This window comes from Homo sapiens, chromosome 11 (assembly GCF_000001405.40).
Source record: "Homo sapiens chromosome 11, GRCh38.p14 Primary Assembly".
Lineage (NCBI taxonomy): Eukaryota > Metazoa > Chordata > Mammalia > Primates > Hominidae > Homo > Homo sapiens.
Genome location: NC_000011.10, coordinates 104,942,014 through 104,969,573, shown reverse-complemented (window position 1 = coordinate 104,969,573; position 27,560 = coordinate 104,942,014). Strand labels below are relative to the sequence as shown.

At 37.8% G+C, this 27,560-nt stretch overlaps 1 protein-coding gene and 1 long non-coding RNA gene across 4 annotated transcripts, besides 1 other annotated feature; one reads left to right on the top strand and one right to left on the bottom strand.

Annotated features, from left to right (window-relative positions):
- Window positions 1-1,200: an enhancer, noted in NCBI's record as "MED14-independent group 3 enhancer chr11:104839101-104840300 (GRCh37/hg19 assembly coordinates)". NCBI's record gives its function as "activates an origin of replication core promoter dependent on BRD2, BRD4, P300/CBP and CDK7 cofactors, and independent of MED14, by STARR-seq in HCT116 cells {active_cell/tissue: HCT116}" and the evidence as "EXISTENCE:reporter gene assay evidence [ECO:0000049][PMID:35650434]".
- On the bottom strand, window positions 994-9,131 carry LOC124902813 (uncharacterized). The gene is made up of 2 exons (XR_007062986.1): window positions 1,414-9,131; window positions 994-1,289 (listed from the first exon to the last, which is right to left on the bottom strand). It is a non-coding gene; the product is annotated as an uncharacterized LOC124902813 (long non-coding RNA).
- On the top strand, window positions 1,000-26,708 carry CASP4 (caspase 4). 3 transcript variants are annotated; one of them, NM_033306.3, is made up of 10 exons: window positions 1,000-1,055; window positions 12,879-12,977; window positions 14,573-14,827; window positions 17,569-17,678; window positions 18,476-18,649; window positions 19,797-20,031; window positions 20,898-21,041; window positions 22,382-22,491; window positions 24,723-24,826; window positions 26,601-26,708. In NM_033306.3, the coding sequence occupies exons 3-9, from the start codon at window positions 14,734-14,736 to the stop codon at window positions 24,819-24,821; spliced, it is 966 nt and encodes a 321-aa protein (NP_150649.1). In that variant the 5' UTR covers window positions 1,000-1,055; window positions 12,879-12,977; window positions 14,573-14,733; the 3' UTR covers window positions 24,822-24,826; window positions 26,601-26,708. The 3 variants fall into 3 exon arrangements, with proteins under 3 accessions (NP_150649.1, NP_001216.1, XP_011541321.1); NM_001225.4 differs by lacking the exon at window positions 12,879-12,977; XM_011543019.2 differs by lacking the exons at window positions 1,000-1,055; window positions 12,879-12,977 and having other exon boundaries at window positions 14,750-14,827; window positions 17,511-17,678.
- Window positions 26,709-27,560: the final 852 nt, after the last annotated feature.

Sequence of the window (27,560 nt, the reverse complement as noted above, 5' to 3'; positions counted from 1 at the left end):
CAGAGATGGTGCACTGGGCTGGGGGAATCCCCCTTGTCTGGATCGCTGATACTCTTCAGAGCCAGCAGGCAGGAAAGATTAAGTTGGCTGAACCTGAGACCGCAGCTGCCCCTCTCCGCAGGTGCTCTGTACCAGGGAAATGAGAGCTCTGTCTGTAAACTCTAGGTGGAGTTGCTGAAATTCCTGCAAGCATTTCTTGCCGGGAGAGGAGGGATGGATCCCGGTCCCACCTAAAGAAGCAGTCTGGCCATGATCTGCCACAGCGGCTGTGCTGCACTGTGAAGACTGCTGCCCAGTCCAATCTGCCCAGCCTCCCTAGCACTGGTAGGGAAAAACCGCTGACTAGAGCTGCAGTAATGGCAGTCGCCCCTCCCCTGGGGAACTCGGTCATCTCTGGCGTACTCCAGGCTGCTATGCTGGCTAGTGGGGATTCTAATCCAGCGGATCTAAGCTTGCAGGCTTCTGTGAGAATGGACCTGCTGCAAGGCCATTTTGCTCCCTGGCTTCAGCCCCCTTTCCATGGGAGTGGACGGGACTCCTGCCTCACTAGAGTTCCGGGAGCTGCTGGACTATGTAAAAACTCCTGCAGCTCAGTGCCTGCCCAAAAAGCTGGAAATATGAACTATTGGGTTAATTCTTATCAGGAAATGAAAAAGAGTTGTTAGATTAAACTTCTTCAGTCATTGTCGTTCTTTGTAATCAGAGAAAGAAAAACTGAGAGATCAGGAAGAGAAGAGACAGATGGATAGAAGAAGTTTGGGTGGCCACAGGAAACAAGAAAAGAAACAAGCTGAGGTGTCAACCCACAGGATAATATTTTGTCATTTTCATTTTTTTCCCCCAAGTCAGAAACTAAATTCCAGTAATTGGATGCCAATTTGCTGATGACAAGGCACTTCCTGATAATGAGTCTGGAATTCTGAGCAGCAGTTTCACAATCTGTAATTACACGTTTCCGCCCTTTGCAATAAGGAAATACATAGTTTACTTTCATTTTTGACTCTGAGGCTCTTTCCAACGCTGTAAAAAAGGACAGAGGCTGTTCCCTATGGCAGGTGAGTCCTTTTCTGACTAGGAGTTTGGGAGTAGGAACTTAGAAAACACTTGATTTATTGCTCTGAAATAAACACAAGAAAGGAAGTGAGCCGATAGCACACATGTTGAATTCCTTTTCTTACTGATTGTGTGTAGTTTGAATCATGGGACCTGGTGTTAGAGATATTGACGGAGGTCATATGTTTTCCAGATGTCTTTGAGCCAGAAAGAAGTTAATTCCTTTCTTTCAGCTTCTGGTAATCAAAGGGAGGGTAAAGAAAGCCAGAGGAAGTTATTTGTGTGAGACAATTCTAGAAGTTTCGAAATGCACTCTGAAATCTTTCTTTTGATTCCAAATTAATTGCCCAGATCACAAACCTTTTTCGCAGAATCAGATCTGAGAGCCTCTGAATTGTTATCTTCTTCGACATCTCTTATTGTGAATTACATTCTTGGTCTGTTTAAAGTGATTCAATTTTTTCCTCTTTCTCGTTGGTCCTGATACTGACTACTTTAATATAATATTTCATGGGTTAATATCACAGTTGTTTTGTTTTGCCGTTGTTATTGTTTTTAACTGGTATCCTTCCCTCCAGGACTTAACTCTCCAATCCATTCTGCACACAACTTTTAGGTCACCTGTCTTATACACAGAAGCTGAAAAAGCCTAAGGGATAGAGTTACTTAGGCAGCTAGTATTCCAGCAGGTCATAACGCTTCTTTGGCTTCATTCTCCTCACAGGAAAAGGAAGAAATTGGACTAGATCAGTGAATTCTAAACCTTATAACATATCGCAGCAATCTGTAGTCATATAAAAAAAGTCAGATGACTACCCCCTTCCTCACCGCGAATAGCTCAATCTTAAATACCCTGCAGGCATTTATTACCTTTGAAGATCGTCACATAATTCTTATGAAACTGACTTGACATAGGTTTGTTCTATTAGGAAAGTTGACCAGTTAGTTAACACTCTCTGCTTATCTGCTAGTGATCTATTAATGTAATTAACTTTGCTCAGGGACATACAGTGGCTCCCTATTGCCTTTTCTCTTTTTTACTATCTGAACTTTCAGACAATTTTTTCTACCTTTTGAAACATGTGTATCCAGTTTTTCCATTAATCTTTGTAAAGCATGATTTCAACTTCATAAAAAAATACTGTATTTACTTCACTCATATTACCTTGTTGTTGTTTCTTTACTCCTTTGATTCTCCCTATAGAACAATTCTCTCCGGGGTTTATGTCTAACTTCACAACATTTAACTTAAGCTCTGGAATCAAGGGATCATTAGATAAAGATAGGGTAAATTGAAAGCCACTAGTCAAAAACAAGTCGTGGTTTGATAATTATAAACAACCAAATGTAGACAGCTATTATTACCTTAAACTCTTGAGGAATTGTATCCTGTAATGTGTTTAAGCATTACATCACTTTGCCTGGAACCAAAACTGTGGTCCTGATAAGTTTTTTCCTCTAATTGATTCCTGCCATTTTTATTATCACTGCAGCTTTCATTCAGTGATTATTATAATAACAAAAAATAATCTATAGTAACCATTTCTTTAAAAAATACTTACCATATGATAGCTAATTCATGCACTCTCTCTGATTTAATATTTAACATCAATCAATACAGTTGTGCTATTATTTCCATATTGTAGTTGAAGGGGATACTTAGAGAATGCCTCCAAAATATGCTTTAGGTCAAAAGTCTGTTGAGAGGAGTGGTCTCAGGTTGGCATGACTCTCAAACTCTGCCATTAATCTAACTTTCTGCAAACATCTTCAAATACTTGCCCTGTCTCTGATCACTGCCACTTCAGTCCTGGCCTCACATTTCTATTCCTTCTAAAGCCCAGCTCTCCCAGTTTTCTGGTTACACGAGACACCCTCAAGCCTTTGTGCTTTTTTCCTTACTGCTCTCTGCCAAAAGACCAGCTCCTAGTTTTCCAGGGGACAAATTCCTACCAGTCCTTCAGGTCTCAGTGCCAAGCCCTCCCTTCTCTGGACAGCTGTACCTGAGACACACTTTGCTTATGCTTTTCTTGAGCTTCTGCTAATTATTTACATTCTTATAATATTTTTCATTTTACTTATTTGCATATGTATTTTTCCACTTGACTGCAAACTTCAAAGTGTACAGACATGCTGCCAAAGTGGTACCCCCAATAACAGCAGAGTAAGTTTCAAGAATTTATGCTCATTAAATATACCTGAATGGATAGGGGAATGAACATGCCTTCCTTCTGTTGAAATATCCAACATGCAACTATCATCTATTAAATGAAATCAAACTTACCTGGTTTGCTATTAAGAATTTGTAATCACCAGGTGGGTTCACCTTGCCCACTGCTTAGACAGAGCCAATTTATCAAGACAGGGGAATTGCAATGGCGTAAGAGTAATTCACGCAGATCCGGCTGTTCTGGAGAGGGTAGTGTTATTATTACTTAAATCAGTCTCCCCGAGCATTCAGAAATAAGAACGTTTAAAGATAATTTGGCAGCTAGGGGCTTGGGAAGTAGGAAGTGCTGATTACTCAGGTGGGAGATGGAATCATAGGGTGTCAAAGTGAGGTTTTCTTGCTGTGTTCTCTTCCTGGGTGTGATGGCAGAACTGGTTGGGTTAGATTACTGGTTTGGGTGGTGTCAGCTGATCCATTGAGTGCAGCGTCTGAAAAATATCTTAAGTGCTGATATTAGATTTTATAAAGTGATATTATCCCTGGGAGCACAATGGGGACATTCCAATTCTAGGAGCCAGAGGCTGCATGTCCCTTACATTGTAATTTTTAGTCTTGTAGCTAATTTGTTAGTCCTGCAAAGGGAGACTGGACCCCAGGCAAGAAGAGGGTCTTTTCGAGAAAAGGCTGTTACCGGTTTTGTTTCAGTCAAACCATGAACTGAATTCCTTCCCAAAGTCAGTTCGGCCTATGCCCAGGAATGAATAAGAACAGCTTAAGGGATAGAAGCAAGATAGAGTTGGTTAGGTCTTATTTCTTTCACTGTCGTAATTACCTCAGTTATAATATTGCAAAGGCAGTTTCAATCCCTCTGTTTGGGTTTTCTAATAGCTTAATCTTAAGGTGTAGGCTATGAAGATGGGAAAAGGCTGTCGATCACTCTGGCTTCTTCCTGCTGACAGGAGACATAGTGGAAATTAGAGTGAACCCCAAGGTGAGAAGAATGTAACCACTTTGCAACTGTCTGAGCATACTCATGCAGGACTGGCTGGGCTTCCAATGCTTGCAATGCAAAAACATTAGTACTCTCCTCTGTAGTTTTGCTATAATATTTAAGCCAACAGCCTCCTGTAAGGTAAATAACAAATCCTAGGATGAGGAGTACAATTCTCAATTTTAAAAGCAAAGATTGGAAAGCATTAATTTGGGGACTTCTAATCCACAAAGAATTTAGGATTTAGTCCAAACTGTAGGAAAAAACTCAAACAAAACTAACAATGGGTATATTATATGTTTTCTTTTGAAGCATAATTTTTCTCTCCAGACCCTATTTTTATTAAAAGTAAATTATAATAGAACTAATCTGTTTACCAAAATAAGCTTTAGTCTTACTGTACTTGGCCTGATTATTTGCATGAAGTGCAACAAGAATAATTATTTTTTATTTAGGCTGTTTTTTGTTTAAATTGGCTTTGATGGAACTCTGTTCCATGAGGAATCTCAGATAAGACTTTTTAAGAGCCAATCCCAGCCATGCATTTGTACCCTTAAATACCTATGAGTTGGGTAAATTCCTCTCCTCTCAAGGTCCCAAGATAACTTGGAGCTCATGAACCTGTTAGAAAGTGATATTCTTTACTTACTACAGATCAAGAACCTTGTACAAGGACTCTGTGTAGACAAGGTATGAAGCCAGATTCCCCAAGGGGCTTTTATTGGCTCTGTAAGTCAACTTCGATTCTTTAAGGGAAGAGTGCCATTCCAGTCAAAGCCTTGGTAAAATAACCAATTTCTCCAATTGTGTCATGTTACAAAAGAAAACAGATTTTTATTGTGCTTATGGAATTAACCATGCTGCCATAAATTGAGAATACTTACAAAGAGTTTCCAAATTCTGGAGAAATCAGGTAGAGAGAAACAAATATGCTTCAAAATTTTTTCACAGGAGTGTATTTTACCTACTTGTTAAAAGTTGCAAATATCTCTAAAGAAATAAGTTATCTTGACTGTGAAAACTGAAGGATTGGTGACATTTAAGACATCAGCTCTTCATGAGAGTCCTGGAAGTTTTGTTTTTTTCCTCTATTCCAATAGCACAATTTTTAAAGTTATCTGAGACCTGCACTCAGAGTCCTATACCTGATTATAAACTGCCTTTTGAAAACGACCAAAGCAAGACAAAATGTCTGTGGATGACAAAAGTCTATAGACACTATTAAAGCTATAATTGACTAGGAATTTTGCTTACTTCTGTGGCATCCAACAATTTTGTATAACAATTATAATTACTAATAATGTACAGTAAATTTTATCAGAATTATAGAAGTTTATATAAATACACAGACAGACAGAAAATTCAGCACTTGTAAGATTTTTTATTTGCCAGTTGTTAACTGGACTACTGGCTTCAGAGTGGAGCCCTTGGAGGAACAGGGCCAGGAAAGCATGCATTTTTTTTCCAAGCTAAATAAGCAGGCACAGCTGAAGGCAAAGACAGATCTCCAAAATGAAGGATGCCATTTTATACTGGATCCCAGATCCCCAAAAGGAAGGAAATACTACTGGAGAAGAGAGTGCAGTGCTTCTAACCTGCATTTTATTGCAAGGCAACCTAAAGCCAATCAACCCATTTTGAAATCAGCCCATCCCCCATGGAAGTCTCATCTCTCAGTCAGGCATGGGGATGTTTCCGTATCTTCCAGGTGGCCCAGAGCATGCTTCTCTGACCCAAGTGTGCGAAGAGCCAAGTTTCCCTCTGAAAATACTATTAGCCATCCCTTAAAGTATATTTCCTACCTAGTTATTACATACCAAAGCTATCTCATAATGCAAAGTAATTTCTGATATCCCCAAAATTCAAACTGTCAGATAACACAATGCAAAACAGAACAGAGCCTTTGATTTTGAGAGTGATCCATCTACTTTTAATTCCTTGGTTGTCATGAAGAAAACAGAGGGTTTTTTGTTTGTTTCTTGTTGTTTGTTTTTCCCAAAATGGGGTCTGTGGTGCTTCCTCTGTTTTTCTCAAGGAGTCTCAGGCTACCAAAAGTTATCTTAGTGCCTCTTATGTGTGCATTAAGAGTGGCAAGACAAAAAATGGAGAAAAATAATTCAGTTTACTAAGAAGAAAAAACCCTCTTTTACAGAAAAACGAGATCCAAGAAGAGAAAAACATAAAGGTCTTTTAAATGTATCCATAACTTGTTTATTCACTTTTAATTAAGCTGACTTTTAACCTTAGTGCTCTTAACAAAATCCTTTTAAATTTCGTATTACCCAACTTTAGCCATGCGGCCAACATTTCTGGCTTTTGAACTTTATCAAAAGTAACTTCCCAGGTGCTTCAAAGGTGTGGTAAGCAGTTTCTTTTTACAAGATTTAGAATTTCCCCAAGGTAGTCCAGAGAAAGGAAAATTCAAGAGAGGAAATCAGAAGCTATCCATGGGGTTGTGGGGGAACCTCATTAAATGGCAAAGTTATGCAAATAGCAAACCAGAAGGAAATTGTTCCAGAAGCCAAGAATAGAGCCTGAGCCTCTATGTCAAAAGGCAAAGTCTTAGCTACTGAATTACAGCATTGAGCAGTTTCTATTGCTATTCCAAGAAGGAGACTAGAGAAGCCACTTTTAACCTTGCCAAGGCTTTTAACTGCTCAAGAAAAATTTTTAGGGCTGGATGGTATAAACCAAAAGGAAGTATCCACATATGGTCACAAGATTAAGCTCTTAAGGAGGCCAAACAAGACAGAGAAATTTCATACAGTATTGGTTTCAGGGACCCATTATAATTGGCCAGCCTGCTGAGCTGGCTTGAAAAGCAGGCTTATAGGGGTCCTAAACCCATGTTCTATCTTGTGATACCCCTCTTTCCATTACAGAACACTGAAAGACAAATTCTTAGCAAAAATACACCAGATTTGCTATAGGCTAAGACTAGTCTTGTAAATTCTTTTTTCTATTAATCAAAACTTTACAGAGAAACATATAGTGATGTTTACTGTTTACACAGATGGAGAAAGAGAGAGAGACCAGAAACCTAGCTGGTAAGAATTTCTTACACTTTTTGCTGGCATACCAGATTTCTGGGTGCCTTTTCTCTGTAACTTCCAGAAGAACGGAACGGCTTCTGATCAGCCTGCTCACCTCACCATAGTTGTGGGGTTCAAGCCACTTTACAAGAAAAAAGTCACCATTTTCTGTTTTATGGAAACATAGGCAAGATTCTTAAAATGCAAGATGCTGCCCAACCAGCTGCATGGGGAACCATTTAACATTTTCTATCCCAGCAGAATTCACATAACAAAACAGACACTAGTCACCTCGTTCAGCACCCAATATCAACCTGGCAAAGCTCAGACTTTTTTCTGTTCGTCCCTGTTGTCTTTGATCCACTCCAGGTGGGGAGGGACGACCTCAGAACAGTAATTCACAATGGGGTCTCTGGGTAAGGCAAAGAGCAGATAGTCACCATGAGACAGGCCTATTGAACTTTCTCCAGGGCTCATCGAATGTAACCAAATAAGAAGAGTCCTCTGAGTTAGGCCTGCTGGACTTCCTTCAGCAATTCCTTCTGAGATTCCCTCCACATATACAAACACACACGAAGATGAGACAGACAGAAGGCCTTCCAAATCAGATGATCCCTAAACAGGAACTCCAAGAGTATCCCTTCCAAACTATCCTCCTATTCTCTGTCTGAGAAATCTCAAAATTGTCCTGATTGAGGACAAGTCTCGTGAACCAAGACTCTTCCTACTAGTTAGAGCCAACCAAGACCCCAGTGGAGCCGAACAGATACCCCGTGGTGGAGCTACAAACAGACACCCTGCAATGGGGCTACAGACACCCTGCAATGGGGCTACAGACACCCCATCATAGAGCTACAGACAAGTCGAGAGAAGGAAGGAGGCATTAGCAGTGCCTAGTAGATTCACCAATCCTAACACCCTGCAATGGGGCTACAGACAGACACCCCACTATGGGGCCACAGAACCAGTCAGGAGAAGGAAGGAGGCATTGGCAGCACCTAGGATACTCACCAATCCAGACACCCTTCAATGCAGCTACAGACGGAAACCCTGTGATAGGGCCACAGTTAGAGGACATCTCTCCAGGATTATTTCTCCGTTGCAATTAAATGCATGCACATTGGGTTGGCAGTGCCTGCCAGTGGAGAGAGTACCAGAGCCAGCCCCCAGTCCAAGAGAACTAGGCGGCTACTTGGGCTACCTTCTGGATCCATCGCTGGAGCGGGGGCACCAAACCACAAGCAGGTAGCCACAAAGGCTTTCCCAGTCTGATTTCGTTCATTGTTGTAATTTCCTCAGTTATAATTTTGCAAAGGTGGTTTCATATTCCTTAAGAGTTGAGCCACACATAAGTTTTATTCATTTGTTCCTACATGGACTTGACTACTGATTCAGTAAATAATTAGTAAATATTCAGTAAATAACTAGTAAAAAGAATGCCAAAAATAGTGCAGATGTAGTTCATGGCCCCTGTCCTCACAGAGCATAAATTCTAACAGTGGATAGAGATAAGTAGGCTGGGAATCACAATTAAATGGAAAAATAAAAAAAAAGGCTGGATGTGGTGGCTCAGGCCTGTAATCCAATAGCAGCAATTTGGGAGACCAAGATGGGTGGATCACCTGAGGTCAGGAGTTCGAGATCAGCCTGGCCAACATGGTGAATCCCCATCTCTACTAAAAATACAAAAATTAGCCAGGCGTGGTTGTGTGCACCTGTAGTCCTAGCTACTCAGAAGGCTGAGGCAGGAGAATCGCTTGAATCCGGGAGGCAGAGATTGCAGTGAGCCAAGATAGCACCACTGCACTTCAGCCTGGGTGACAGAGTGAGACTCTGTCTCACAAAAATATATAAATACATAAATAAATAAATGGAAAAAAAATGCTACTCTAAGGAGATACAAGGTGCCCTAGGAGCATATATCTCTGATGCTGTCTCCTCTGGAAGAATCAGAGAGGATTCCCTTAAGAAAATACCATCTAATCTGATACTTGAAGGATAGACAGATAGACAGATAGACAGAGAACAGTTCAAAAACCAGAAGAAATTAGAAGCGGGGGTGCTGAAACTATACAGATCCCTAAGTAGAGACTTGATTCCCTGAGAAAGGTGCCATCTAATCTGAGACTTGAAGGTTAGACAGACAGCAGTAGGAAAACAAGAATGAATGAGAAGGTAGGGGCTGGAAATACAGAGACCCCTAAATAGAATCTTTCCAGAAATTAAATGAAGGCAGAACGTTTTGAATGTAATGAGCAAGGTGGGAACAGTATCAGAAAATGAGTGAATGAGAAGGCCTAGATTAGAATAGGCTGAAAGTTTTCATGGTCAAATCTAGATATTGGAACACTCTTCGTTGCAAAGAGTAGAATAGAGGGACGGAGAGTAGATTGATAAAGTTCTTATGAATTTATTTCTTAAGAAAGAAAGGATGTTGGCCCGAATAGAAGTAATGAACAATTAGAATTGAGAGAAGTGGTCAGATTCTGAAAATGTTTAGCAAATAAAATCGATGCAATGTGAATTAAGAAGGGAAATAAGACATAGAGAAGGCCAAAGAGGTTGAATATCACCAGGTATTGCTGCTCTTTTGTACTTGGAGTATAGGTATTATTTACTAGTATATGGAAAAGAGAATGAAGGATGGAAATGAAAAAATGAACAGTTCATCTTTGTAAGTTGAGTTAAATGAGGTTGTGAGATGTAGTTGAGATATCTCATTGTCTATTGAATGTATAGGTTTCAATACCGACATCCACATCTGGGCTGAATCCATAAATTTGAGAATGATTTATTTATTCTTTTAAGCATATAATGGATGCCATCAGAATGTGTAGATTATACCTCAGGCCATACTTTTAATTTACTTATTTATTTATTTGACAAATAAACATTGTACATATTTTCTATGTACAACCTTCTGCTTTTATGAGTTTAACCTGTTTAGAGTCTATGTATAAGTGAGATAATGTGATATTTTGTGTTTTGGTGCCTGGCCTGGCTTATTTTACTTAATATAATGTTCTTCATGTTCATCAATATTGTCAGAAACGATAGGATTTACTTCCATTTAAAAGCTGAATAGTGTTGCATTTTGTATATAATCCACATTTTCTTCATCTATTAATCTGTCCACAGACATTTAGGTTGATTTTATATCTTGGCTATTGTGAATAATGCTGCAATGGAAATAGAAGTTCAGATATCTCCTCGAGACACTGATTTTCCAATTTTTGATATATACTTAATAGTGGGATTGCTTGATCATATCTTTAGCTCTATTTTTAACTTTCAGAGGTGTCTCCATATAGGTTTCCATAAAGACCATGCTAATTTACTCTTTTTTTTTTTTTTTTTTTTTTTTTTTGAGACAGAGTCTCACTCTGTTGCCTAGGCTGGAGGGCAGTCATGGAATCTAGGCTCACTGCAACCTCCGCCTCTAGGGTTCCAGCAATTCTACTGCCTCTGCCTCATGAGTAGCTAAGATTACAGGCGCCCACCACCACGCTCGGCTAATTTTTGTATTTTTACTAGAAGCAGGGTTTTACCATGTTGTCCAGCCTGGTCTAGAACTACTGACCTCAGGTGATCTGCCCGCCTTAACCTCACAAAGTGCTGGGATTACAGTCGTGAGCCACTGCGCAGGGCCTAATTTACGTTTTACCAACAGTGTACAAGAGTTTCTTTTTTTCTACATCCTCTCCACCATTTGTTATCTTTTGTCTTTTTGGTAATAGCCATTCCAACAGGTGCAAAGTGATATTTCATTGTGACTTCAATTTCCCTGGTGGCTAGAGAGGTTGATCATTTTTCATATACATATTCTCTGTATGTCTTCTTTTGAAAAGTGTTTATTCTGGTCCTTTGCTTATTTCTAAATCAGTTTATTTTCTTTCTATTGAATTGTTTGTGTTCTTTGTATTTTGCATATTAATTCTTTATCAGATGTATGGTTTGCAAATCTTCTCTACCATACTGTTGATTATCTCTTTAATCTTTTGATTGTTTCTTTGACTGTGTAAAAGCTTTTTAGTTTGATGTAATTTCATTTGCATATTTTAGCTTTTGTTTCCTGTCCTTTTCTGTCATATCCAAAAATCACTGTCTAGACCAATGTTATGAAGCTGTTCCCCTCTGTTTTCTTCTAGTAGTTTCACAGTTTTGGTTCTTACATTTACATATTTAACTCATTTTGAGTTTATTTTTGTATATGTTTAGAGATTTTTATTCTTCTGCATGTGGTTTTACAATTTTCCCAATATCATTTATTGAAGAATTTGTTCTTTCCCAGTTGTGTGTTCATGAAACCTTTGTTGAAAAGTCAAATTAATGTAAATAATTGGGTTTATTTCTGGGTTTTCTGTCCTGTTCATTTGCTCTCTGTTTCTATTTTTATGCAACTATTGTGCTATTTTGATGACTGTAGTACTTTGTAGTCTATTTTGAACTCAGATAGTGCGATGCCTGCAGCTTTGTTCCCTTTACTCAAAATTGCTTTGCCTATTCAGGGTTTGTTTTTTTGTGTGTGATTCCATATAAATTTTAGGATTTGTTTCTATTTTTGTAAAAGCTGCCATTAGAATTTTGATAGGAATTGCATTGTATCTTTAGATTTCTTTGGGTATTAGGGACATTTTAATAATAGTAATTTTCCAGTCCATCAACTCAAAATACATTTCTACTTATTTTTGTCTTCTTCAGTTTTCCCTATCAATATTTTATAGTTTTGAGATTTGTTATTATTGCTGTTATTTTTGAGACAGGATCTCATTCTGTAGCCAAGACTGGAGTATAGTGTCACAATTATAGCTCACTATAATCTCAAATTCCTGGGCTTAAGCAATCCTCCTACCTCAGACTTCCAAGAAGCAAGGACTATAGACACATGCTACTATGGCCAGCCAACTTTTTAAATTTCTTGTAGAGACATAGTCTCACCATGTTGATCGGGTTGAAGTTTTATACTTTTACGTGTACTTGTTTTTTACCTACTCGGTTAAATTGATTTCTAAGTATTTTTGCAGCAATTTTAAATGGAAATTTATTTATTTTTTAAAGATGGTTTATTGTTATACAGAAACACTACAGATTTTTGTATGTTGATTTTTTTTATCCTGCAATTTTCTTGAATCTGTTTATTTGTTCTAAAAGATTTTTGGTGGATCCTTTAGGGTTTTCCGTATATAAGACCATTTCATCTTTAAACAGGCACAATTAAACTTCTTCCTTTCCAATTTTGATGCCTTTTATTTCTTTTTGTTGGCGAATTGCTCTGGTCAGAACTACGTTGAATGGAAGTGGTAAATGTGAATATCTTTGTCTTCTTCCTGATCTTAGAGAAAGGGTTTTCAACTTTTCACCATTGAGTATGATGTTAGCTGTGTGTTTGTCATATGTGACTTTTTTTGTTAAAAACTCTTCAATTTTATTGCTTATTATATTTCTTCACATATCATTTATTCAGTCAACACTATATTAGTTTACTGAGCACACAAATAAATAAAACAGAAGCCCAGAACTCAGGTAGTTTGGATATCCCACACACTAATCTGTGTACTGTTTGCAAATCACACTGTGTTGCAACATCTGTACCTGATGTTGCAAGACTAACATTTTTGCTACCTCTTCTCAGAAGCCTTTGTGATCTCACCTGTTGGAATGCACTAATGTTTTCTGAGCCCCTTAAATATCTTGTCTACATTCTTTTAAGAAGCTCTTCACCAACTGTCAGGTAATGTAGTTTGATGAATTAAGAATGGGGGCTCTGGATTCTGAACCCCTAGATTTCAATTCTTGTTCCCAGTTACTATATACTCGGTGTTCTTTTACATTATTTGAGTCAATTACTTATTATCTTCCATTTTCCATATAAGAGAGGTTAATATATGTTTTATATGGAATTTTTGTGAAATTTCAGTAATGCACTTGGCATGATGAGGGCTCAATGAATATTAACTATTTTAACTGAACCATATCATGATTAACTATATAGACTATGGTGAAAAAAACAAGATTTGAATCCTAATTCATGTGATGTGACATAAGTTATTATTTAAATGGTGAATATAAAATAGGGAATATAATAACTACCCCACTGGCTTATTGTGAGGGTCCAGTATATTAACATTTGTAAAACCTTTGGTACAGTGATATGTAAATGATAATGATGATTATAATAATGATTTAAATTGTTTTATATGCATTCATTTTTTATTTATAATAAGTACATGGGAGATATTACCCTTTACTAAGTTAATTTATATTATGTAACTTTTTTCCTGGTTTGTAATGTCTAATGTTTTTCTCATAATAGCTGCCCAATAAGCACGTATGAAAATATTAATTCAAGATAACCCAGACAATGAGGCTGGTGCTTCTGTGCCAAAGCTTTTGTGCAATGTCCTGACATGATTTCTTTAGATGTCATTTTCTGTCAGCACTATCCTTACATCTACATGGATTGTATAATTATCTTTGTAGCATTGATTGAGAATTGATAAGATATCCAGCATTTCTGTGTACAATCTGCCGAAATCATATCTGTTGTATTGAAACAAAGGATGTATTACTTTGGTATCTATATTTCCTTATAAATATTCAAATTACTCTAAGGAGTAATACATTAACATGGTGTCAAATTAAACTAATCCACCACACTGGAAGATTAGGAATCAGGTTACTTTCAATTTTAAATTTTCATTGAGAACAAGATTTGAAAGAATTATAAATATGGATGCACTCATCCATTTATTCTTTAATTTATGTATTTAGCAAGCATATTAAGTACTTTTAAACATTTTGAATACAAAGATGTGGGTATAGGATGTAAGTTAAAAAAATGCAAATTCAAAGATATAGTTCTTTCACCAAGAAAACTAAATACAGAAAAGAGTAAAAATCATATAGGAAGTAAAAATCTAGTAGGAAGAATTTATATTCTAGACAAGAGCATTGACTTTCCCGGGAATATATATTTTAGGCAGATCATTATCACTATGGGCCGTGAACCAGTAAAAGAGAAAAATGAATACAGTGGATGACCAGGAAGTTTGCATTAGGTCCAATGCCACAGAAGGAAGTTGAGAAGCTAAAAGAAAAGAAAAGAAAAAAGAACAAAAAAGAAAATAAAAAGTATTTAGTGGCAATAAATTGTTAAACAACCTGGTAGGAATATGATGAATGACAGAACTCTATAGGTACAAGAAGACAGATGGTGAAGTAGGACATACTTTCAGAAGTATTTCACATTATAGAACTATATCTAAAGTGAGGGTGAAACTCTTTAAGCTGTGCCCATAGTTAAAGGAATCTTTCTATTTCTAACAGAAGGCAACCACAGAAAAAAGCCACTTAAGGTGTTGGAATCCCTGGGCAAAGATTTCCTCACTGGTGTTTTGGATAACTTGGTGGAACAAAATGTACTGAACTGGAAGGAAGAGGAAAAAAAGAAATATTACGATGCTAAAACTGAAGACAAAGTTCGGGTCATGGCAGACTCTATGCAAGAGAAGCAACGTATGGCAGGACAAATGCTTCTTCAAACCTTTTTTAACATAGACCAAATATCCCCCAATAAAAAAGGTAAGACTGGATTTTTTACAATGAATGTCTCAATTTTCCCTAAATCTGTTTAACTCCAAGGCCTAAGCAGTGTCTTCTGTGATTCCCCTATCTTTCCCTTCCTAAACTATCATTTTCACTAAACCTATCTTTGTCCTTTTAGAGACCACTTCCCTTTTGTGGGGTGGAATCCAGTTTACAATCAGCTAAAAGGCTGAGTCCTTGTGTTCAGACTGTGTACAAAAATAGTTAATAGTTCACACCTTGTAGTAAGGGACACATAGAACTAAACCTAGATTCTGTCACCTGTGACCTATGTGACATCCTGTAAGTTGCTTAACTTCCCTAGATCCTTAGTTATTAGTCTTACCATCTGTGAAATGAAGACAATTCCAGTACTTTCTCACAAGATCGTCTAAGCCTAGAAACATTATAATGACAGGCACCACACGCCAACAACTCTCAAGATATTAGCTCTCATCCGGAACTCTCTCCTCTGAACTCCAGGATCATTTAGCTCTAGCAACATATTCAACAGGTCTACTTGAGTGTTTTGCTGGCATCACAATACAAATACAGCTAAAATATACACTTTGTTCCCCAGAACAAAACTGTTGCATTTTTATTCCCTTTTCATCTCAGTAGACCGAAACAACATCTACCAAGTTTCTCCCACCAGAATGCAACTGGTTTCTTCACCAATTAATAACAGTAATCAGTAGTTTTCTTGGCACATAGCAGATGCCTAAATAATGTAGGATGAGTAAATAAATAAAGTATATGCATTCAATAAATACTAGTTTTCATAATTATTATGTGGATGCTATGAACTAGACTTTTCCAGTGCTTACTTACTTCTGCGAATTACAAAATATGATAAGGAGAATCTCCATAAAATGTCTAAAATTTTAAAACTTCTTTTTGGAACTTTTGACCCAGATTGAATTACGTATTATTAAAGGTTAAATATTCTCATATTGAAGTTCACCAGAGACAGACTCAATACCCCCCAGAATTTAAGCTGAAATCTTGAGCCATGAAGTATTACAGATTACCAATAATGATAAATAGTGATAAACAAAAGGAAATATAAATTGTTGAGACCTCACTATATCAAATGAGCTTTTTCAATCAGCACTCCTCTATGAAGAAGGGGTGTTCCTACCAACAGGGAGCACATGATAGTATGATAGTTGTCCAAGATTATAAGAAGGTAGCATTCTCATTAATATTTAAACTGGTCCCTTTGCAGGTTTTTAGTTTTTTCTCAAACCTGGATGGCATGGAAACAATCTCCATTTTCAAAAAGTCAGTGATAGTGCAACTAATGGGAATTAGAATAGAAGTAATAGAGGCTTCAGAATGGTTTTAGCAAACCCAGATATCACAATGAGCATTCAAGTCTAAACTGAAGTAATCTATCTGATTAGCAGAGGCTGTGGCAGGAATAAGGCAGCGGCAACCCCTCACAGGAGGGGTCTAGTGTCTCCCTGGGCTCTATCTGCAGTTGGAGTCTCCAGAGCAATCCCAGGAAACTTTAGGTACACTGCCAGTGTACCTAGAGTGTATCCAGCTCTCTTTGGGCAGCAGTCTGCAGTATAATATGTACTATCTTCTAATGAAATGATTTGCTTTCATGCTAATTTTATTATTGGATGTAAGATAGAAATTCTATCTAATTTCTAATTTTACCTGAAAACACTGTATCTCACACACACACATAATGATCATTAGGAGATGACTAAGTTATGAAGTTCTCTAAACCTGTAAGTGAAGTGGAAACAGGAAACTTTGGATTAGAAAACATACCCTCTGACCAGGGAATATCCAGGATCCAGCATGTCTTCACATTGGCAGAATTTTCTGAAATAGGACCGAAGGTCATATATCACTGTGTAATCTATGAAAAGAGATGCTCAGAAGGTTTGATATTCATACACACTCTTACAACTTGTTACATCTCCAGAGCTCAGACTGGCTGGCTTTACAAATAGCTGGCTTTACAATTTGCACAGGGATAATTGAAGTTCATTTCTTCTAGAATCATTAAAAATTAACAGTAAAGTTGCTAAAAAAATAATGCCTTGAAAGTACAAGATTCAATATTCTGTGCTTTGGTGTATGTATGTATTTATCTGTATGTGTAGTGGGGATTAGGAGGGGACGATTACTCCAAAATAGGATTTTGTTCCATCCTGTATGGGATAACTATTAAGCATTTGGCTTGTGGCTAAAAATACATGTTAAAATAATACTTTTTGTATGTTATGTTAAATAAATGTTATTAGAATTAATTTTACCTGTTTAATTTTACTTTTTACATGTGATAGTAGAAATTAAATATTGGACATGGAACACACATTAAATTTGTAGTAGATAGTGTTCTGACAACTATTTACTCAGTATACTCTTGCACAGACACAATAGAAAGTCCACACAGATAAATGAGTATCCTGGAGTAAAACCTTTGGAAAAATCAAATTCTTTTGACGGTATAAGGAAAGGCCAAATTTAACCCCAACATCATTGACATGTTTTCCCCAGAATGATCAGAATATATGATTACATGTTTGGGTGGATCTGCTTTTCTATCTTTTCCAGTAACAATACATCTCCTGATGTAGAATACTAGATATGAGATACAACTAAAACCCCTATATGTGAAGAAATCTTCCCAGGACGTCTTCTCTCTCGATCTTCTTAGGTGATAAATTGGGTCACAGAGGCAGAAATCACAATTTATGTTCTGCAATATCCTGCAGCTCATCCGAATATGGAGGCTGGACCACCTGAGTCAGGAGAATCTACAGATGCCCTCAAGCTTTGTCCTCATGAAGAATTCCTGAGACTATGTAAAGAAAGAGCTGAAGAGGTGCTATGCTATCTATATGAAATAGAAAAAAAAGAAGAGATATCATTGCTTTCCTTCAGTGCACCATTTCTTACAGCACTAAATGATTGGGGGTGGGGATGACAGTAACCATTTTCAATAATGCTTTTACTAAGGGAAAGATTATGTGACTTCACAATGATACCAATCCTTTCTCAATCCATGATGCAGATCATTTTATCATGAGTTGAAAGAAAATTGGTATTTCTATTGCTCCTGTATTTATTCTTGTAATTATTTGGATTTTATGGCAATTGTAGCATTAGCCATGGAATAAACATATTTGGAGGATAATATAGCTGACTTGTAATTGGTTGCACTCTACTTGAAAAGTCTAGACATGAAGGATACTTGGGAAATATAATTAAAGCTTGAAAAACATTATAAATTTATGTGTTAAAAATAGTAACAAAATAGCTATGCTTCCGAAGGCAAAGACTTTTGCTGTATTCATTTTTCACTGGAGTCAACGACAACATCTCGTTTTGTATGAAATTTGACCTGAACTTTGAATGCTAAGAAAGATTGGAGTAGGTGAAGAAGAAAAGGGAGAAGAAAAGGCATAGGAATTATCTAGTTTCCTCAAGATTCTTAATAACAATTTCAGATATGTCCGGTTCTTTCCCTGGGTTCTTGAGAGAGAGAAAGTCAGTGTCTTTTGATACAAGTTAGAGCAGAGAGGAGCTGCATGAAGACTTGAAAAAGCAACACTGATAGGCATAAGGAGGCTGAAAGGAGACTTGAGTAAATTAAATTTATTGCATCTCCATATCCTGCAGATCTATCCAATAAAGGAGAGAAACAACCGCACACGCCTGGCTCTCATCATATGCAATACAGAGTTTGACCATCTGCCTCCGAGGAATGGAGCTGACTTTGACATCACAGGGATGAAGGAGCTACTTGAGGGTCTGGACTATAGTGTAGATGTAGAAGAGAATCTGACAGCCAGGGTAAGAATCCCTCAGCCGCCACAAACACATACATATTCAAGACACATCCTTCTAATAACTACCTAGCTTCAAAGAGCTCAACAAGGTTTAACAACCTTTGGGTGTGTGTGTGTGTGTGTGTGTGTGTATACAAAATAAGAGTACTAGACTGGTAAATCTATGTCTCTTTGGTCCTCCAAATATCCTCAATTCTGGAAAACTAGACTAAACATGATTGACACGTGTTTTCACATTTCTTATTGAATTCCAAAATCATGTGATTGGGATGCAGCCCCGAAAATCCCCAGAAAATTGTAGAGTAATGAATGTTAAATGGCAGTATACTTATAAAACAAATATTGAATCCTAAACTTGGTGCTAAGAGCTATTCCTAACGTTGGGAATAGGTCTGTAAATGAGACAGGAAGTTCCCAGCCAGCATTCATCTAGGTTACAGTAGAGAGAAACAGTGAAATTGTAAGAAAAAAGACAACTTCAAGCACCAGGTGTGCATATGTGTGTCTACAAAACAGCGACAAGACAGCCAAAAGTAAGTAAAAAGAAAATAAAAAGGAAATATGAGACAGAATTGTAGGGTGGGGAGCAACGTTTTTGGGTTGGTTGGAGATGGCTCTGGAAAGACATGAATGCAGCGCCTTCAAAGTAGGAGACGCCACCTGTGAAAGAGCTGAGCTGAAAATGAACCTGGCACACGAGAAGCACAAAGAGAAGACCAGTGTGACTAGAGGTTGAAGGAGAAGGAACATAGTATGAGGGTGGTGTATGGTCAGGCCAGAAGTTTGATTCTATTCTAAGCATAGTGGGATGGATTTTACAAAGAACATGGTGTGTTGCATTTATAACACATGACTTGCTAGGTAAGGAGATAGAAGATTGAGATGGAAAAGAAAAAGTAACATGAGTAACACATAGCAATATACAATATACTAAGAAGACAGTATGTCAGCAGGAAGAGAAAATGGGAATCCACGGCCCCATAAAGAAGGAAAAATAAAACCATTAAACAGCTGTCATGACTGAGTAAGCACTAAGTGAAGCACCACGACCTGGATGTTACATATGTTTCTTGTTTCGCTCATGGTAAATCTAGGAGTCCCCTTTAATTGTGATGCTTCTCTGACTGAAGTTAGACATTGCTCTTTTACAGGATATGGAGTCAGCGCTGAGGGCATTTGCTACCAGACCAGAGCACAAGTCCTCTGACAGCACATTCTTGGTACTCATGTCTCATGGCATCCTGGAGGGAATCTGCGGAACTGTGCATGATGAGAAAAAACCAGATGTGCTGCTTTATGACACCATCTTCCAGATATTCAACAACCGCAACTGCCTCAGTCTGAAGGACAAACCCAAGGTCATCATTGTCCAGGCCTGCAGAGGTGGTGAGTGCTGAGACTGAACATCTAACAGTTATGAAGGTGTATGCAGAGGATTGTGATGTTTGGTTTATATTTAGGGGCAACATTCTTAAACCTCATCCAGTGTAAATAAAGTACATTGAATTCTAAAGAAACTCTACCTAAGGGTCTGGTATAACAAGAAATTGTCTCATCAAAATTAGTGGAGAAATTTCTGTTCAATTTTATCCACAGTAAGTGGTGAAGGAGATCATCAGAATCCCTAAATCAAAGTTAAACAGAAATACTCAAACTTTGGAATGGAATCATTTTCATGATAGCTTGATTTGTAAATGTTTTACAGAAATTTTGACATTGTGTGGTTTGAGAAGAATTTCATTTGAAACTGGGGCCATTATGTAAAACAGCATCCCTTTTTCTTATAATTATTGAGGGGGAAATTAGTAAAGAGATCAGGGGACTGTAGAATGTTGCAGTGCCACTTTGCTCCAAAGATTCAATTGCCTCATGGCTGGCTGAGGATGGTGGCTCATGCCTATAATCCCAACACTTTGGGAGGCCAAGACAGGAGGATGGCTTGAGGCCAGGAATTTGAGACCAATTGTCTGATAGCTCTTGGGAGCTATTTTTCAAAAGAAAACAGATTTTTTTTCTAGAAAATGGTAAATTCAAGATGATTTCACTATCAGTAGGCACATTGTTGAATGACACTGGAGAGAAAGAAAAGTGGTGTGTGTGTGTGTGTGTCTCTCTCTGTGTGTGTTTGTATGTGTGTGGGTCTGTATGTATGAAACTAGTAAGAATGAACATTCAAAAAGAACAAGGTGGGCAACTGTGACAGCCATTCTGTGGGAGGCACAGCAGTGTGCAGAAAGTTAATGTCTCCATAGCAAACCGTGGGGAACTGTGGGTCAGAGACTCTCCAGCATCCTTGGAAGTGGCCTCTTCACAGTCATCTGAGAACCTAGAGGAAGATGCTGTTTACAAGACCCACGTGGAGAAGGACTTCATTGCTTTCTGCTCTTCAACGCCACGTATGTATCTTTCAGTGGCAGTAAGGGATTTGTGGGCCTGAGGCCATCTTTGAATGAATCTAGAAAATCAAGAATCCCTATGAAACAATGATCTGATAGAATGTTGTGTGCTCTCCACATATTTTACATGATCTTATGTGTGCCGTGAGAACAGATTCCTAAAGCAACCCGATACATGGAAACCCATTCACCACTCACCATTTAAACAGATGATGAATTCTGTTTTTTTTATTAAGCCCATTTAACATTTTACATAGTGTTTTTATGGATTCCAGGAATGGCTTCTCTTTCTCAAATGATCAACTTCAAGTCTTCTTTCCATATTTCACATCTGATTCTACAATGAGCAGTGCCATTGCATGCCCTGCTAGAACTGTGGATACCCTTTAAAACAAGTAGAAAATGATAGGGTGGGGCTGATTAGGTCTAATCTCAGGGAACACTGGTTAGTATTTCATGTCTAGGTAATTATCTTAAGGAGCGTACATTTAACTGTTTTTGATTTGTATATTTTTAAATCTTATTTTTTAAAACCACTTTATTGAGGTATGATTGACATACATAATGTTACATATTTAATGTATACAACTTAATGAGTTTGGAGATTTCTATGTACTCCTGAAATCATCACCACTATCTATGCCATAAACATATCTCTCTTCTCCAAAAGATTCTTACACTTCTCTGTTTATTATTATCATCATTCCGTGACTGCGTGTGAGAAGTATACTTAGCATAAAATCTACTCTCTTAACAAATTTCAAGTACATAACACAATGTTGGTTACTACTGGCACCACCCTGTACAATAGATTTTTATCACTTTTTTCAGCTTCTATCACTGAAACTTGTCATGTGTTCATCTATTTCTATTATACGGTGAAAGACAGTGTGGCATAATCTGCAAACAACTTTGGAGCCTGGTGGCAATTTTTTGTTGCTTACTCACTGTGTGAACATGGGGAAGTTCCTTCATCTTTCTGTGCTTCTATTTCTTCCTCTGTAAAGTGGGATAATTCTAGTTATTTCTCAAGCCCCTATAAAAGCTGAGAGAATGAACATGAGTTTTGTAGTAGAAAGCCAATCCCAAGAATCAAAATTTCTTCAATACACAATCTCTTGCAATGCTTACCAACTGCAACTTTTGATCACCTTTTGCTAGGTTTTCTGTTTACGTTCTGTGGAAAGTAGGTAAATGTCAGGTTGTAAGTGCTTCCTACAAATCTGTAAAGATAATTCCCAAGCTATGCTTTTCTTTTTAAAAACATTCTCAAAACAAAAATATGAACAAAAACATAGTGAAAGTCATAGCCCAAGGCATACCCATCTGTATCATTATAGACAACGTGTCCTGGAGAGACAGCACAATGGGCTCTATCTTCATCACACAACTCATCACATGCTTCCAGAAATATTCTTGGTGCTGCCACCTAGAGGAAGTATTTCGGAAGGTAAGTGTCTCTTTTCTAGTTACTCATTTATTTCTTCAGGAAGAATTTGTCATGATTCACTTTTTACTTCACAATGACAATTTTTGTCAGGGAAGTGAAAGTAGAGAGGTACCCAGTTTCTGTCATTCAGTTGTTTAAAATATGGCTAAGGAAAAGACAATTCCAATATATCCCAGCAGAAGATCAAAGTAAAATAAAATAATATCAACCATAAGCTTTATGTTATGGAGCGTAAGTTCTTAAGTTTTAGAGAAGGAAAAATATTTTGAAATAATTTTTATTTCTTAATTTATTAAATGAATAAAATCTGGGTGGTCTGCTAGGTCATGGATTTCCTCCTGGTGACAGAGGGGTAAATGAGGCCTACATGACGTAATCCTATCTAGGACTCACATTTTCGTGGGAGATATGGATACTGAAAATGTGGGTTAACAAACAAATATGTGCTTACAGATTGTGATAGGATCCATAAAGACATGTGAGAGGGAACAAAAAAGAAGTCATTCTTTCAATAAAAAAGTGCAGAAGGAAAGGTTTGCTACTTCTTGCCCAACTTGGGACATTCCTTATTCCCACTACTTCCTATGTTATTTTTCTCCATAGCTCGTACATCTACCCACTCAGCAAATATTAATAGTTTATTTATGTGTCTGGTTTTTTACTTGTATTTACTCACTAACATGCAAACTTCGTGATGGCAGGGATTTGCTCAGCAATTCAACAAACCTGGCACGTAGCAGATATTCAATTAATAATTATTGAATAAATACATGCATAAATACACAGATAAATGCACCCTCTTGTTTAAAGAGAAAATGGGATTGGTATTAACACAGAATAGTATAATTATTAATAAAGTAAAAATTGTAGAGAACAGTAAAACTCCTGCGGGAAAAGAAAGATACACCTCTGGCGTTTATAGAAGAAAGCCATCCAGAACCAGCACAGTCACTCATTCCTGTAATCCCAGCACTCTGGGAGTCCGAAGGAGGGTGGAGTGGCTTGAACCCAGGAATTTGAGGCCAACCTGGGCAACATGGCAAAACCCATCTCTACAAAAAATACAAAAATTAGCCGGGCATATTGACTGGAACCTGTAATCCGAGCTACCTGAGAGCTGAGATGGGAGAATCGCTTGAGCTCAGGAAGCGGAGGTTGCAATGAGCTGAGATTTCACCACTACCCTCTAGCCTGGATGACAGAGTAAGACCCTGTCTTAAAAAAAGAAAAAGAAAGAAAAGTAGTGAAATAAGAAGAAGGAGGAGGAGAAGGAGGAGGAAATGCAGCATAAATTGAGACAGAGCTCCTGTGAATAGAGATCTGGGAAGTTAAATCTTTTAAATCTTCTTGGATAAGTGGGAGTTAGACATTGTACTTTCAAGGATGTTCATAGAAAAAGGAACTAAAAATTCTGGATTTAGGATAAGTAGACTTACCAATTAGTTGATGCAAAAAAACTACAAGATCAGCTTGGTGGTGGAGATATGAAAGTTGTTCAGTGTTTGGGTCTTAAAGATAAGATACTGGGGCTGGGCACGGTGGCTCACGCCTGTAATCCCAGCACTTTGGGAGGCAGAGGCAGGAGGATCATGAGGTCAGGAGTTTGAGACCAGCCTGGACAACATAGTGAAACCACGTCTCTACTAAAAATACAAAAAACCAATTAGCTAGGCGTGGTGGTGGGCACCTGTAACCTCAGCTACTTGGGAGGCTGAGGCAGGAGAATTGCTTGAACTCTGGAGGCGGAGGTTGCAGTGAGCCGAGGTTGCACCATTGCACTCCAGCCTAGGCAACAGTGCAAGACTCCATCTTAAAAAAAAAAAAAAAAAAGAAAGATAAGATACTGGGATTAAATTCTCCTTCAATTGAGGAATCAGCCTTGGTGAGTGTTGAAAGTACAGAGTCCTTCCTTATCTGGTTTTCATGAATAGTTTTCAAGGGATAACTTATTGTCAGATCTGTAGGTCAGAAATGGAAAATAGAGGAAATGAATGTTGAAAGACCTTGGATTAGACATGAGGTGTTTATTTTGATGTAAAGCATACAGTCTGACATGGAGTGGCAATTCTAAGAGGTAGGGTACAATGTTGAGGAGTTAGAATGCCCATGGGCTTGGTTCTATGAAACCTGCAAGCTCACTTCATTCCAGGTGTTGTCTGGTACATGGTGAAAGATGCTTTCTGAGACTTGAAAAGAGTCGTATCTCATCTACAGCCTATTTTCTTTTTCAGGTACAGCAATCATTTGAAACTCCAAGGGCCAAAGCTCAAATGCCCACCATAGAACGACTGTCCATGACAAGATATTTCTACCTCTTTCCTGGCAATTGAAAATGGTTAAGTATTGAGAGTTGTTGGTGGTATGTGAAATAAATAAGAGAGTGATATTGGTGGTTAAGTTCAATGACAAATGACAGCTGAGTACTTGGATGGTCAAATTGGTGTTTTTGTTGATATAGTCTGGTGATTATCTGCTACTTCTTTCCGACTTACATGTATTTGGATTCCTCCAACTCTACAATTAATCAGGCAATCAATCAATCAATCAAGGAGGTAAGGAAAACCGCAGCAGAATGTGATGATGAAAAACCAAGGATAGTAATTATTAAAATAGAAACATGCTCATGCTTCCATTACTATTTATATTCATTTATCTCTCATAGTCTTTCTCTTTTATTCCCCTTTCTTACACACACACACACACACACACACACAGAGAGAGAGAGAGAGAGAGAGAGACACTAAGTAGCCAAACATTGCATCAAACCCTAAACAAAACAGAGTAAACAAAGGAGCTAACTCTGGAGAAAGCAGCATTTTGATCCTCTGAGTGAGGATGTCACAGCAAATACCACATTACTGACATCCAGATACCATTACCAGATGGTACAGAATACATCCTACACTGTAGAGTTTGTGTTGATCCAGGCTCTGGTTCTCAGACTGTTCTCACAATGCAGATCACCAATCACTCAGGGTTGGCTTTTGAATCTTCAATCACAGTCCAGAAGTTCCTTCAAGCTCCCATGTAACTTTTGTTATTATTTTGACCAAAATATTATAGAATGGGTACATTGAGTCTGGACTAAATGATGACTTTCTTCACTCATAATAGCTTTATTTAACACTAGACTATAAGACTATTATCAATCTCCCTCTAAGATACATACTTAAAATTATATTTTATAGTGAAATGTATAAAGTTGTTCTCAATACTTCCAACATTTACCACATAATTTTTACTCTTGGTTTCTGACACTTCAGTCACAATATTGCATCATTTCAGCATAACAGCTTTCAGTGCCTAATCCATCCAGTGGGGCTGCATTTGGACATTGAATTGTTTGTTGACTAATATTTGCCAACACTAACTGTGCACCAGGTTTTGTTCTAGATGCTTGGAATATGCCAATTAACAACGTAAATAGATTTCTTACACTCTGAAAGCTTATATTCTAGTGAGTAGAAACAGACTCTGAAGACATAAAGTGGTAAATATATCACAGGCCGGAGAGCAAAAAAAGATAAAAGGAAAAATAAAGGAAGACAAAGGAAAACACAGAATGATGGATGCTGTACTCCTATAGATATTTCACTCAAAAGCTTTTCTTGAAATAATGAAATCAGAACAAAGAATGGACAGAGTTGGGGAGTGAATAATGTGGTTCTTATGCAGGAAAAGTGTTCCAGCACAGAATACAGCCAGTGCAAATGCCCTGGGATAGCAATGCACTAAACATGTTTAAAGAACTGCAATGAGACAGTGTGACCAAAAGAGAACGTGAGTGGAGAAAATGGCAGAGACAAATTAGGAGAAGCAGTGAGAAGCCAGATCGCGTGGTTCTATGTTATCACATGGTAAACCTTTAAAAATTATTATCTGAGCGAGACAGGAAGCCTTTCTAGTGCTTTAGAAAAAAGAAGTAATATGCTTTAAATTAGGTTTTACAAAGATCACATTTTGGTGAATAGACTAAGATGTCACAGATGGAAGTCAAGGGAAGTGGCAAGAGCACATGGAAGAGGATGCAAGAAGAATCATGATGAGGGATGGGATGAAGGCAGCAAGGGGTAACCATCTTGACCTTCTGTTTTTTCTCTCCCCTGCAGGAAGCCACAAGCAGCCCAGCCCTCCTTAATCAACTTCAAGGAGCACCTTCATTAGTACAGCTTGCATATTTAACATTTTGTATTTCAATAAAAGTGAAGACAAACGAACTGTGTCTTTTTCTAATAGAGAATATAATCTCAATGAAAATGGTGGGTGAGTGGAAATGAAGTGGAGGAAGCTAACTGGATTTTCGAGCTTTATGGCTCATGAAATATCTATACTTGGCTGATGAAGAAAACTGACTGATTTATCCCCAACAATAGGATGAAAGATGTTGCCGAAAACTATAGTGAGATACTGCCTCATACCCATTTGAATGACTCCCATCAAAAAAAGCCCCAAAAAACAGAAAATAACAAGGGTTTGAAGGGATGTAGAATAATTGGAATCCTGTGCTCTATTGGTGAGAATTTCAAATGGTACAGCCACCTTGGAAAACAGTATGGTATTGCCTCATAAAATTAGAAGTAGACTTACCATATGCTCCAGAAACTCCACCTATGGGTACATAACTAAAGTAATTGAAAGCAGGGTCTCAAAGATATATTTATACACCCACATTTATAGCAGCATTGTTCACAATATCTAAAATGTGGAACTATCTGATAACTGATAAATGGATAAGCAAAATGTGGTGTATACACATAATGGAATTTTATTCAGCCTTTAACGAGAAGGAAGTTCTGACATTTGTTACAATATGGATGAACCTTGACATTATGCTATGTGAAATAAGGCAGCAATAGAAAAACACATACTGCATGATTTCACTTACATGAGGTACCTAGGGTATAAAATTCATAGAGACAGAATGTAGAATGGTGATGGCCAGGGACTGTGGGGAGGAGGAAATGGGGAGTTATTAGTTAATGATATAGAATTTGAGCTTTGCCAGACAAAGAGGAATTCTGAAGGTAAATGGGGGTGACACTTATATGACTTTATGAATGGATTTAGTA

Coding starts and splice junctions, on each gene's coding strand:
- CASP4 (NM_001225.4), top strand. Junction 21,042..22,381: donor TTTCTGCTCTTCAACGCCAC/GTATGTATCTTT, acceptor GTATCATTATAG/ACAACGTGTCCTGGAGAGAC. Junction 22,492..24,722: donor TAGAGGAAGTATTTCGGAAG/GTAAGTGTCTCT, acceptor TTTCTTTTTCAG/GTACAGCAATCATTTGAAAC.